Here is a 13,592-nt window from a genome sequence, read left to right as displayed (position 1 = left end):
ATGTAGAACAGTGATACGTATACTCACTAGAACAGAAACTGGTGAGGTTTTTGCTGGCCCAGCTTAGGAGACCAAAATAGAGCAAAGAACTGGCTTTGGTGTGCCTCTGGAGCAGGCATTTTTCCTGAGTTGCTAAATGGAGGTTTTCAGCTGATTTGTTTATGTGACAGCTTGCCTGTTAACAGAAAAATATTGATTCCTCTGGCTTAGCAATGAGGCTCCTAAAACATTTTAGCCCTAAACTCATAAATTGCTTTATAAAAAGAATTAAGCTTTCCCAAGGAGTTTGCTTGGCCTCAAATATTTGATTGGACAAGGCACAGATATTTTTCCTGATTTTGCAGTTAGAAACCAGGCTTTCTACTTTCTCTGGTTTGACTTATTGGATAAGCCCTTTGAAAAATGGAGCTTATACTTAGTGTGTTTTATTTTAACTTCAATGATGATATGCATCTCTGCAGTAAATTTTTAAATAGCTGGTTATATATGCTGAATAAATGATGAACCTAATAATGCTCCCAGCTATCCTCATAGAGCATCTGGAAGGTAATCAGGGTCAAGATTGAAAGACAAAAAGATAGGGAGGAAGAAAGATTTAATACATGTCATGTTCTGGCAAATGAATGCTGATTTATGCCAAACTAGGCTTAAAAGAACTAAAATTACCATACGTGGTATAATCATTGCAGGCATACTCCTCACACAGCAAGAAAAGTCTTGTGAAAATTTGTATAAGTAAACTTTATCATCAACACTTTAAATTGATAAAGAATATGCACAGAAAATAACAGCAGCTCACATTGTACAGTTTATTTCCAAAGTCATTGAGTATACAGTATTTAATTTCATCATTGTAATAGTCTTTTCACGTAAGAGTTATAATCATTACAGGGTTTTTTTTGTCTTCCATTTCCAATAGTTTTGTGGAGACATAATTGGAATAAGCTGCATATATTTAAAATAATTTGATAAGTTTTAACATATGTATACAGCTGTGAAATCATTAGCACAATATACATCACCCCCGGGAGTTTCCTTGTGCCCTTTCCCAAGCAACCACTGATCTACTCTCTGCCATAGATTAGTTTAGTTTGTTTAGATAATTTGTTTAGATAGATTAGTTGGCATTTTCTAGAATTTTAGATTAATAAGATCAAACACTATGTACTCTTTTTTTGGATGGAGAAAGTCTGTGTGTTTTCACTCAGCATAATTATTTTGAGTTTCATCCATACAGCTGCATGTATCACAGTTCATTCATTTTCATTGTTGAGTAGCATTCCATTGTATGGAAATCTCACGATGTTGACATATTCATCTGTTGATGGAAATCTGAGTTGCTTCCAGTTTTGAGCTGTTACAAATAAAGTTGCTATGAGCATTCTTACAAGTCTTTGTATGAACATGTGCTTTATTTTCTCTTGGGTAAATACACATGAAAACAGCTAGATCAAATGATAGGTATATGTTTAACATTTATATTATTATAACATATTATTATTATACGTTATTTTACATTCTCAGCAGCAGGCTATGAAAGTTTCAGTTCCTATTCATTCTCACCAAATCTTGGTCTGGTCATCAGTCTTTGTACTTTCAATTTAAATTAATGGATGTGTAGTGGTATCTAATTGTGGTTTTAATTTGCATTCTCTTAATGGCTAATTATATTGAGCATCTTTTTGTGTGCTTATTCGTCATCAGTATATATTTGGTGAAGTGTCTGTCAAAATATTTTGCCCATTTTTTAATTGGTCATTTGTTTTCTTATTATTGAATTTTGAGAGTTCTTTATATATTCTGAGTACAAGTATTGTGTCAGACATATGCTTTGTATATATTTTCTCCCAGTCTGTGGTTTCTCTTTTTATTCTCTTAGGAGTGTCTTTTGAAGAGCAAATGTTTTTAACTTTGCTGAGGTCCAGTTCATCAATTTTTTAATGGATCATGGTATTGATATGGTATATAAGAAATCGTTGCCTAATCCAAGGTCACAAAGATTTTCTTCTAGAAGTTTTGAAGTTTTAGTTTTTACATTTAGGTTTAGGATAAATATTGAATTAATTTCTGTATATGGTATGAGGTATTATGGACCAAAGTTTTTTTCTTTTTGCATAAGGCTATCCAATTGTTTCAGCACTATTTGTCAAAATGCTATCTTTCTGCATTGAATTGCCATTGCACGTTTGTTGAAAATCAGGTGTCTATATATGTATGAGTCTATTTTTGAACTCTTTTTTATTTCATTGATCTATTTGTCTGTCTTGATGTTAATCTCTTACTCTCTTGATTACTACAGTTTTATAATAAATTTTGAAATCGGGTACTATAATTCGTCCAAAATCGTTGCTCTTCAAAGTTGTTTTGGCCATTTGAGGTCTCTTGCATTTTCTTATAAATTTTAGAATCTAATTTTCATTTTCTATTTAAAAAGGCCTGCTGAGACTTTGATTACAATTATGTTAAATCTATAGATCAATTTAAGGATAATTCATATCTCAATGATACCAAGTCTCTTGCTTAATTTCTCTCAGCAATGTTTTGTAATCTTTGGTGTACAAGTCTTTCACATCTTTTTCCAGATTTATCTGTTTTGTATTTTTGATGCTATTATAAAGGTTATTGTTTATTGAACTTCAATTTCTCATGGTTGCTAGTACAGATTCTCCTCAATCTACAGTGTGTGTATGTCCCAATAAACTCATTATAAATTGAAAATGCATTTACTGCACATAACCTACCGAACATCATAGCCTAGCCTAGCCTACCTTAAACATGCTCAGAACACTTACATTATATAGTTGGGCAAAATCATTTGGCAACACAGTACACTTTAGAACATTGGGTGTTTACCCTCACTCTTGCACGGAAGACTGGGATTTGTGTTTCGCTGCCACTGCCCAGCATTGTGGTAGACTATCATACTGTTTTCTACTAAATGCAGATTGTTTTCACACCATCCTAAAGGTAAAAAATTGTAAGTCAAACCATCATAAGTCAGGGACCATCTATATATAGAAATACCAATGACTTTTGTATATTGAACTTGTATCCTGAAACTTAGTTGCTAAACTTGGGTTTTAGTTTTAGTAGCTTTTTTTCTGTAGCTGCAATAGGATTTTCTACACAGATTATCACGTTGTTTAAGAACAAAAAGTGTTTTATTTCTTCCGTTCCAAGCTAGATGACATTTATTAATTTTCTTTGTTTGATTATACTGGCTAGAACTCTAACTCAATGTTGAATAGAAGGTGTGAGAGCAAATTTTTTTTCTTGTTACTGATCTTAGGGGGAAATCATGTAGTCTTTCACTATTAAGTATGATGTTAGTGGTAGTTTTTTTTTGCACGTGCTATGCCTATATTCATTTTCCATTGCTGCATAACAAATTACCTTAAAGGAACAATTTAGGCTGGGAGTAATGGCTCACACCTGTAATCCCAGTGCTTTGGGAGGCCAAGGCAGGAGGATTGCTTGGGGCCAGGAGTTTGAGACCTGCCAAGGCAACATGTTAAGACTGTCTCTACCAAAAATTCTAAAATTAGCCAAGTGTGTTGGCATGCGCCTATAGTCCCAGCTACTTGGGAGGCTGAGATGGGAGGATCACTTGAACCCAGGAGTTTGAGGCTGTAGTGAGCCTGGATCATGCCACTGTACTACAGCCTGAGTGACAGAGTGAGGTCTTATATCTAAACAAAAATAAAAAATAAATAAGTTAATTAAAAAACAAACAAACCAAACCCATAGCAACTTAACAAACTTTTATTATCTCACAGTTTATGTAGGTCAGGAATCCCAGCTAAGACATGGCTTAGCTGGGTGCCTCTGCCTCAGAGTCTCTCACAAGGCTGTAATCAAGGTCTTAGCTGTGGCTTTTGTTTCATCTGAAGTCTGAGTTCAGGGCAGATTTGCTTCCAAGCTCACTCATGTGGTTGTTGGCAGGATTCATTTTCTCACAGGCTGTCTGATTGTGGGTGTCAGTTTCTCACTGGCTGTTGGCCAGGGGACTCTCGGTTTTTTGCCACATGGTGCTGTCCATAGGGAAGTCATACCTTGGCCGCTGGCTTTCCTCAGATCAAGTGACAGCAAGCAAGATAGAAGCCACACTCGTTTTGCAAGCTAATCTCAGAAGTGACACCCCATCACTTTGCAGAATTCTATCATAAAGAGTGAATCGGCCAGGCACATTGGCTCACGCCTGTAATCCCAGCACTTTGGGAGGCTGAGGTGGGCGGATCAATTGAGGTCAGGAGTTCGAGAACAGCCTGGCCAACATGGTGAAACCCCGTCTCAAAAATTAGCTGGGCGTGGTGACACATGCCTGTAATCCCAGCTACTTGGGAGGCTGAGGCAGGAGAATCCCTTGAATCCGGGAGGTGGAGGTTGCAGTGAGCCGAGATCTTGCCATTGCACTCCAGCCGGGGCAACAGAGGGAGACTCTGCCAAAAAAAAAAAAAAAAGAGAGAGAGAAAAAAATGAATGAGTCACCACTAGGTTTAGCCTACAATCAGGGAAGGGATTACAAAAGAGGCAGGGATCATTGGAAGTTATCTTAGAGTCTGCCTACCACAATTCCCTTTATCAAGTTGAGGAAGTCCCCTTATATTTCTAGTTTCCTAAGAGTTTTTTACTTTTATTTATTTTTTTATCAGAAACATGTGTTGACTTATGTCGAGTGAATTTTATTTCTATGGAAATGATCATGTGGTTTCCTTTAGTTTTTAGTTTGTTTATATGGTGAAGTTCGTAAGTTTGTTCGCATTTTCAAACGTTAAACCAAAACTGAATTCCTGGGATAAACTTCACTTTGTCATAATGCATTGTCCTCTTTATATATTGTTAGTAAAATTTGGCTAATAATTTTTGTATTTATGTTAATGCAATATGAGAGATATTGGTCTGTAGTTTTCTTTTCTTGTAGTGTTTGGCTCTGGGGTGAGCGTAATATTGGCCTCATAGAACCAGTTTGAAAGTAGTCCTTCCTCTTCAATTTCTGTGAAGAGTTGTATAAAATTAGTACTATTTCTTTCTTGTGTATTTGGCAGAATTTATCAGTGAAGCCATCTAGGCCAGGAGTTCTCTTCACGGGAAGGTATTAAGTTCCAAATTCAATTTTCTTAATAGTTAATCCTATTCAGGTTCTCTATGTCTTCTTGAGTAAGTTTTTGTGGTTTGTGTCTTTCAATAAATATTTCCATTTCATCTAAGTTGACATTATTAGTATAGAGTTATTCATAATATTCCCTTCTTCCCTTTGTAATATATACAGGATCTGTAATATCACCTTTCTCATTGCTGATGTTGGTAATTTGTATCGTGTCTCTCTTTTTCCTGAACTCTTGATTTTATTGATTTTCTTTTCTGTTTCTGTTTTCTTTTTAGTCGATATAAATTTTGATCTTTATTTTCTCCTTTCTTATGCTTATTTTGCTCTTTTTTTTTTTTATGCAATGGAAGCTGAGGTCATTGATTTGAGACCTTCTTTTCCAATATATGAATTTCATGCTATAAATTTCTCCCTAAGTACTGCTTTGGCAGCGGCCCATAAATTCTATGTTATGTTTTCATTTTCATCTAGTATAAAATATCTCAAAATTTCTCTTTTTATTTCTTATTTAATCCATGTGTTATTTAGGAGTGTGTTACATTATTTAGTTTTCAAATATTTGGAGATTTTACAAATATCTTTTTGTTATTGATTTTTAATTTAATTCTATTTTCATTAGAGAACTTAATTTGTATGACTTACTTATAATACTTTTTTTTTTTTTTTTTTTTTTTTTTTTTTTTTTTTTTTTTTTTTTTTTTTGAGACGGAGTCTCGCTCTGTCGCCCAGGCTGGAGTGCAGTGGTGGGATCTCGGCTCACTGCAAGCTCCGCCTCCCGGGTTCACGCCATTCTCCTGCCTCAGCCTCCCAAGTAGCTGGGACTACAGGCGCCCGCCACTACGCCCGGCTAATTTTTTGTATTTTTAGTAGAGACGGGGTTTCACCGTTTTAGCGGGGATGGTCTCGATCTCCTGACCTCGTGATCCGCCCGCCTCGGCCTCCCAAAGTGCTGGGATTACAGGCGTGAGCCACCGTGCCCGGCCTATAATACTTTTAAATGTATTGATACTTGTATTATATCCCTGAATATGGTCCAGCTGATAAATGTTTCTTGTTTACTTGAAAGAGAGGTTTTTTGATGTTCTTATTGAGTGGGTTGTTCTATAAATGTCAGTCAGGTAAAGTTGTTTGATAGTGTTGTTCAAGTCTTCTATATTCATGCTGCCTTTCTGTCTACTTGTTCTATCAATTATTAAGAGAGAACTATTAAAATCCTCAATTATAATTGTATATTTGTCTATTTCTCCTTACAGCTATATCAGTTTTTACTTCATGAACTTTAAAACTCTTGGCCAGGAGTGGTGGTTTATGCCTGTAATCCCAGCATTTTGGGAGGCCGAGGCAGACGGATCACCTGAGGTCAGGAGTTCAAGAGCAGACTGGACAACTTGGTGAAACCCTATGTCTACTAAAAATATATTTAAAAATTAGCCAGGTATGGTGGTGGGCGCCTGTAATCCCAGCTACTCAGGAAGCTGAGGCAGGAGAATTGCTTGAATCCGGGAGGCAGAGGTTGCAGTGAGCCAAGATCGTGCCACTGCACTCCAGCCTGGACAACAGAGCGAGACTCCGTCTCAAAACAAACAAACAAACAAACAAACAAACTCTTTTATTGGGTTAATGAACTTTTAGGATCAATATTTTCTCCTGATGCATGAACACTGTTTTCATTATGAAATGATCTTCTCTATCCCTGGTAATATTCTTTGCCCTAAAATCAACTTTATTATCATACAGCCATTAAAGCTTTCTTTTGACTAATGTGTTAGCATAAAGTTCTTTCATTATCCTTTTCCTTTTAACTGATTCGTATCATGATATTTAAATTGTGTTTCTTGGTGGTGGTGTACAAGTGGGTCTTGTTCTCTTTTTACAATCTGACAATCTGCCTTTTACTGGGATCTTTAGAGCATTTACATTTAATGTGATTGTTGACATTCCTTGGTTTGCATCTACCATCTTGCTATTTGTTTCCTATTTGTCCCATCTGCTTTTTGTTCCCTTTTTCCCTCTTTTTCTTCCCTCTTTTTATTATTTTTACATTTTATTTTATGTCCTTTGTTGATTTATTAGCTATAATTTTATTTTATTGTTTTATGATTGCATTAGTGTTTATACTATGCATCTTTAACTTATCACAGTCTACCTTCAAGTGATACTATATCATTTCATATATAGGATGAAAACTTTGCAATAGTGTGGTTCCATTTTTCTCCTCTCATCTTTTATGTTATGGTTGTCATACATTTTACTTATACATATGTTATAAACTCCATAATACATTCAGTTTGTTTGTTGGTTGGTTTTGTTGTTTAAATAATCAATTATCTTTTCAATATATTTAAATTATGAACAAAATTTTTATAAATTTACCCAGGTAGTTACCACATTACCATGTCTAGTGCTCTGCATTCCTTTGCATAGATACATATTTCCTTCTAGTATCATTTTTTTTTTCTGCTTGAAGGACTTTAAGATTTCTTACATTGTGGGTCCAATGTTGATGAATTCTTTTAATATTAATTCAGAAAAAGCCTTTCTTTGCCTTCATTTTTGAAAGTTAGTTTTGACCAAATATAGAATTAGAGGTTGACAGTTTACTATTTTCCAGTACTTTAAAGAAGTTGCTCCACTGTCTTCAAGTTTGCATTGCTTCTGACAAGAAATGTGATGTCATTTGGATCTTTATTTCTCTGTATATATCTTATTTTTGGGGGGTGCTTTACAATTTTTCGCTTTATTAATGGGTTTGACTAATTTGATTATGATGCACCTGGGAATAGTTTCCTTACCTTTTTTTTGTGTTTGGGGTTCTTTGAGCTTCTTGAATCTCTGCGTTTATAGTTTTCATTAAATTTGGAAAACTTATACCTATTATTTCTTCAAAAAGTTTTCCTGTTCTCTCCTTTCTTCTCTTTTAGGGACTCCAGTTACATATCTCTTATGTTGCTTGAAGTTATCCCACAGCTCACTGAATCTCTCTTCCTCTCTTCCTTTCCTTTCCTTTCCTTTTTTTTCTTGAATCTTTTTTCTCTATGCTTTACATTTTGGACAGTTTCTGTTGCTATGTTCTAAAGTTCACTAATTTTTACTTATGCCATTTCTAATCTTCTGATAATTTCATTCAGTGTATGTATTTCATCTCAGACATCATAATTTTCATGGCACTTTCTATGTTTTCTCATGCATTATTTATATCTTCTATGTTTCTACTTAACATTTGGAACATGTAGAATACAGTAATAGTAACTATTTTAGAGTACTTATCTGCTGATTCTAACATCTGTGTCAGGTCTGGGTTAGATTTGATCAATTGATTGTCCTCATTCTGAATGTTTTTTCCTGCTTTCTTTCATGCTTTTTTTTTTCTTTGATTTGATGCCAGTTATAATAAGCTTTATTTTACTGGGTTTTGGATTTTTAAAAAATTTTTATTTTAAGTTCAGGGGTACAAGTGCAGGTTTGTTACATAGGTAAACGTGTCATGGGGATTTGTTGTACAGATTATTTCATCATCCAGGTGTTAAGCCTAGTACTCATTAGTTATTTTTCCTGATCCCCTCTCTCCTCCTACCCTCCACACTCCAACAGGCCCAGTGTGTGTTGTTCCCCACAATGTGTCTATGTGTTCTTACCATTTAGCTCCCACTTATAAGTAAGAACATGTGGTATTTGGTTTTTCTGTTCCTGCATTAGTTTGCTAAGTATAATGGCCCACAGCTCCATCCATGTCCATGCAAAGGACATGATCTCATTCTTTTTTATGGCTGCACAGTATTCCATGGTGTGTATGTACCACATGCTCTTTAGCGTTCTGGATATTTTTCTATTCCTATGTGTTCTTAAGCTTTATTCAGGGATACAATTAGGTTATTTGGAAACAGTTCAGTCTTTTCAGGTAGCACTTTTAAGATTTGTTAGATAAGTCTGGTGTGGTGTTCTATCAGAGCTAATTATTCCCCACTACTGAGGCAAGAACTTCCTGAGTACTCTACCCAGTGCCCCACAAGTTGTGACTTTTTCAGCCTGGTTGGTGATAACACACTATTCTTGGCTCAGCGTGAATGCCAGACTGCTATCTGTAAATCTGTCTATCTATGGGTATTTCCCCAGCCTCAGGTGTTTTATCTATACATGTGCTTTGATCAATACTGTACTAAGCACTTGAGCAGAATGCTCTGAAAATCTTCAGGTCCCTCTCTCTATGCACCTTTCTCCTCTCTGGTACTCTGCCCAGCTATCTCTAGTTGCCTTGATTTCCCCAGACATTCAGCTCTGTCTCCACTCAGTGAGACCATCAGGCTTTGTCTAGGTTCCCCTTTCTGCACCACAGCATGTAAACCCTCTCAAAATGGTAAGTTGTGGCAATCAAAAGTTTTACTTCATTTGTTTCCATCTCTCAAGACTCGCTATCTTTCGCGGTCTGATTTCCAGTTACTTGAACGTAGTTGTTTCACATATTTTGTTTTGTTTCTGTGGTTGTTTCAGGTGGGAATATAAATCTAGTCCCTCTTACTCTATCCTGCCCAGAAGTGGAAATATGATCCTTCCATTATAAAATAAAGAATGGTCCTAAGATTTGAGAACTCCAAAAGGACTTAGTGTTACGGTAAGTGGTAAAAGTAGAATTTATATCCATTGCTTTTATTCTTGCTTCAAAAACATGATCTTAGAAACACCTACATAGCTGGAAAATCTACAGGACTTTTTTTTCCAGTCTACAGATTGTTTATAATTGTTCATTTTATGTGTAACCCTTATTTTTTTTCTTTAAGGAATAAAGGTGAACAACCATTTGGGACTGTTTATCTACTTGCTATCTCTCTTTTGAGAGAGAATAATGTCTCAAGAGCTCCATTCTCTGATGCCTGCAGTATGTTATGAATCAGTAGAGAATCTTTCTGTCTGTGCTTGGATCTTGGGTAAGTGCTCAGCTTTCTCTCTTACCTCTTAGGCCCACTTATAAGTCACACCCTGTCTTAGTCTGTTTTGCACGGCTGTAACAGAATACCATAGACTAGGTAATTTCTAATAAACAGATATTTATTTCTCACAGTTATGGAAGCTAGTAAGTCTAAGATCAAAGTGCCAGCGTCTTGAAAGGGCCTTCTTGCTGCATCATGGTGGAAGGCATCACATGGTGAAAAGACAAACATAAGGAGAAAAAGAGCGCAAGAGTGGGCAAATCCACTCCTGTGACAATGAACCCACTCTTGTGATAATGTCATTAATTTATTCACTCTGACTTCACAGCCTAAACACCTCTCATTAGGCCTCATCTCACAACACTGTTGCTTTGGGGACTAAGTTTCCAACACATGTTTTTGGCGGACAAATTCTGACCATAGCATACTCTCACCCAGTTCAGTCCCTTTGCTTGTTTCTTCCTCTGGTAGAGTACTCCTCTGTTATTCTTCTCTAGCAAATTCCACCCATCATCTCAATTCCACTTTTAAGCTCTATTTCTACAGGAAAGCCTTCCCCATCTGTCTAATTTCCAGCTCTATAAAATCATGCTAGCTTTGTTTGGACAAGATACTCGTGCGGTCCCTTCCATCACTGAAGTAAGTTTTGTGGGACTAAGATTACTCTCTCCCATCCCTAAATTACAGTATCTGGCATTAACTGACCCTGAATTATATTCTAAAATTGGAACATATATTTTCTTCACTCTTATCTGACAAGCTGCCCATCATCAGTAAGTTGAAAATATATCTTGTTAAACAAATAGATGAATGACATTTTTTCCTACTCATTTAATGCATGTATTTTTTTCCTTTTTTGCTCAGAAAACAAGTTTCTTGAAGGCAGGGGAAATGTTTTTTGCTCTTTTGATATTGCATGCAGAATCTGCATTATCCTGGAGGCATTGTTGAGTGTCTGCAAGGACTCTGATTCCAAGAAGCCATTGGCAGCCTAATTTTCCAGAATCATAGTACTAGACACAGCTGTTAATATATAGCCCTGAAATAAATATGTGTTGAATGAACAATTAGGTGGCTGTGGAATGAGAGTTTAGCAAGACGGTCATGCTTACACAGAGAAACAAAGACGCAGATAGTGCAGACATGCTCACAATTTGTTTGCTTGATACATTTGCTACTTTGAGGCTTATACTTAATGTGAGTCTGTGAATGATTTACAGGTATACTCATACACTGAGATGAAGAACTTTATTATAAATCTCCTTCCTTGTACTGTAGGATACTGTGCATTTTTCAATGCTGTAAACATAAATAGAAAAGTGTTTTGTCTGTGACAAGATGTCAGCTGGAAAACCTTTTAAAGATGCAGAGTTTTAAATTTGAGTTCTCATTATTATATTGTCCTGATTCAAGGGGTAAGCACAAAAATGTTCTATATTTATAAATCTTATCCCATAAATCTTTTATTATAAGAAAAAAAAATAAAATTCTCATATAAAAGTAATACATATAAAAATAGTGTTAAACAAAAATAAGAAAATAAAACCCAACTCTATCTCCAATATAGATCACCACTAATAACATTTCAGTACATATTCTCTCATTCTTTTTATATACATACTTTATTCAAAAATACAATTATATTGAACATATTATTTTGTTATATGCATTTTCATTTAGTGATATGAAAACTATTCAGCATATACTCATAAAAATTCTCCACCTCATCATTTTTCACTGCTGCTTAGCATTTTAATGTATGGAAACACTGTAATTTACTTATCCAAACCTCCAATTCAGGTCATTTGGTTGTTTCCAATATTTTTGCTGTCATAAAATTAGAAAAATAAGTATCCTTGCAGCTAAAGCAAGTGACTTATTTTCCTTAAAATAAATCCCTAAAAGTAGAATCATTGGGTTAAAAAGTATGCAAAATTCTAAGGCTTTTGACATCAAAACTACCCCCTAAAAATATTGTGTCAATCTAATCTCCCAACAATGAACGGGGTATTTTTTAAATGTGATTTCATGTGTACTTATAACTTTTATGCAGGAAAAGTTTAAAATTAAGTGGTTGAGGAAATTAGGGTGCAGAAGAATCAAGAGCACACAGCATTAATACCAGAATTATAATCCCACTTTTTGTATTTCTTGTTCTCTTATAACAGTGCTTATTGCATCCACTCAAGTGGCATTTGAAAAAAGGCTGGAAGATTCCCTGAGTAAAATTAGGGCTTTTATTCAAGCACATATTGAAAACAAAAGTTAAATGGGCTGCAAAAACTATGATGATAATAGGATGGGTCATGCTTTACGCTGATCTCTGCAATTTATTTGCCATCAGGAGGCAGGAAAAGGTCAGTTTTGTTCTTTTTCCAAGAATAAAGTGTAATTTTCCTGAGAAGATGGTCTCTTTTCTACCTTGCCATTTGTTGTTATAATCACAAACTATGAAACTTTGCTTTGTACCCAAACTGACATTCATGAAATTAATACTTCCAGTTTGATTAGCTCAAATAGAGATTAAAAATGTGTTTTTATATTTCCTCATAAAACATTAGCTCTTCTTAAAATATTTTAAATTACAGATTATCTCACTACATACTTTGAGGCAGGCTTGAAGAGGTTGATTTCTTTCTAAAAATAAGATCCTAATTCTGATATAATTTGTTGCTCTCGATCTAGTTATTTTACGATCTTTAATTTTTCCATGATGCCACTGTGAAAGAAAAAAAAATATGCGCACACAAATACAAAACCAGAACCTGATGCAATTCCTCATTGCCTAGGAGTACCTTAATTCTCCTTAACCTGATACCTACCTTTCAATTTTTAAGCTTGCTATTCTGAGGTAGATTGGTTGCACAAATGACACAATTGTCACTGCTCTTCTAAGGCCATAACTTTGTCCATCAAGCTTCCCATGAAAAGATCAACAAAAGTGATAGACTGCTAGCAAGACTAATAAAGAAGAAAAGAGAGAAGAATCAAATAGACACAATAAAAAATGATAAAGGGGATATCACCACCAATCCCACAGAGATACAAACTACCATCAGAGAATACTATAAACAACTCTACGCAAATAAACTAGAAAACCTAGAAGAAATGGATAAATTCCTGGACACATACACCCTCCCAAGACTAAACCAGGAAGAAGTTGAATCCCTGAATAGACCAATAACGGGCTCTGAAATTGAGGCAATAATTAAGAGCCTACCAACCAAAAAATGTCCAGGACCAGATGGAGTCACAGCCGAATTCTACCAGAGGTACAAAGAGGAGCTGGTACCATTCCTTCTGAAACTATTCCAATCAATAGAAAAAGAGGAATCCTCCGTAACTCATTTCATGAGGCGAGCATAATCCTGATACCAAAGCCTGGAAGAGACACAACAAAAAAAGAAAATTTTAGACCAATATCCCTGATAAACATCAATGCAAAAATCCGCAATAAAATACTGGCAAACTGAATCCAGCAGCACATCAAAAAGCTTATCCACCATGATCAAGTGGGCTTCATCCCTGGGATGCAAGGCTGGTTCAACATATCCAAATCA

At 35.4% G+C, this 13,592-nt stretch overlaps 1 long non-coding RNA gene across 1 annotated transcript in view; it reads left to right on the top strand.

The window, feature by feature from the left end:
• LOC105373186 (uncharacterized) overlaps positions 1 to 10,024 on the top strand; it is a 29,294-nt gene extending 19,270 nt beyond the window's left edge. The window contains exons 2-3 of the long non-coding RNA XR_002958821.2: positions 9,596 to 9,716; positions 9,883 to 10,024. This is a non-coding gene — a long non-coding RNA (uncharacterized LOC105373186). The remainder of the gene's footprint in view (positions 1 to 9,595; positions 9,717 to 9,882) is intronic.
• Positions 10,025 to 13,592: the final 3,568 nt, after the last annotated feature.

The sequence above is a fragment of the Homo sapiens genome, chromosome X (genome assembly GCF_000001405.40).
Source record: "Homo sapiens chromosome X, GRCh38.p14 Primary Assembly".
Lineage (NCBI taxonomy): Eukaryota > Metazoa > Chordata > Mammalia > Primates > Hominidae > Homo > Homo sapiens.
The sequence above is the reverse complement of the archived record's forward strand: the minus strand, read 5'-3'. Positions and strand labels throughout refer to the sequence as shown.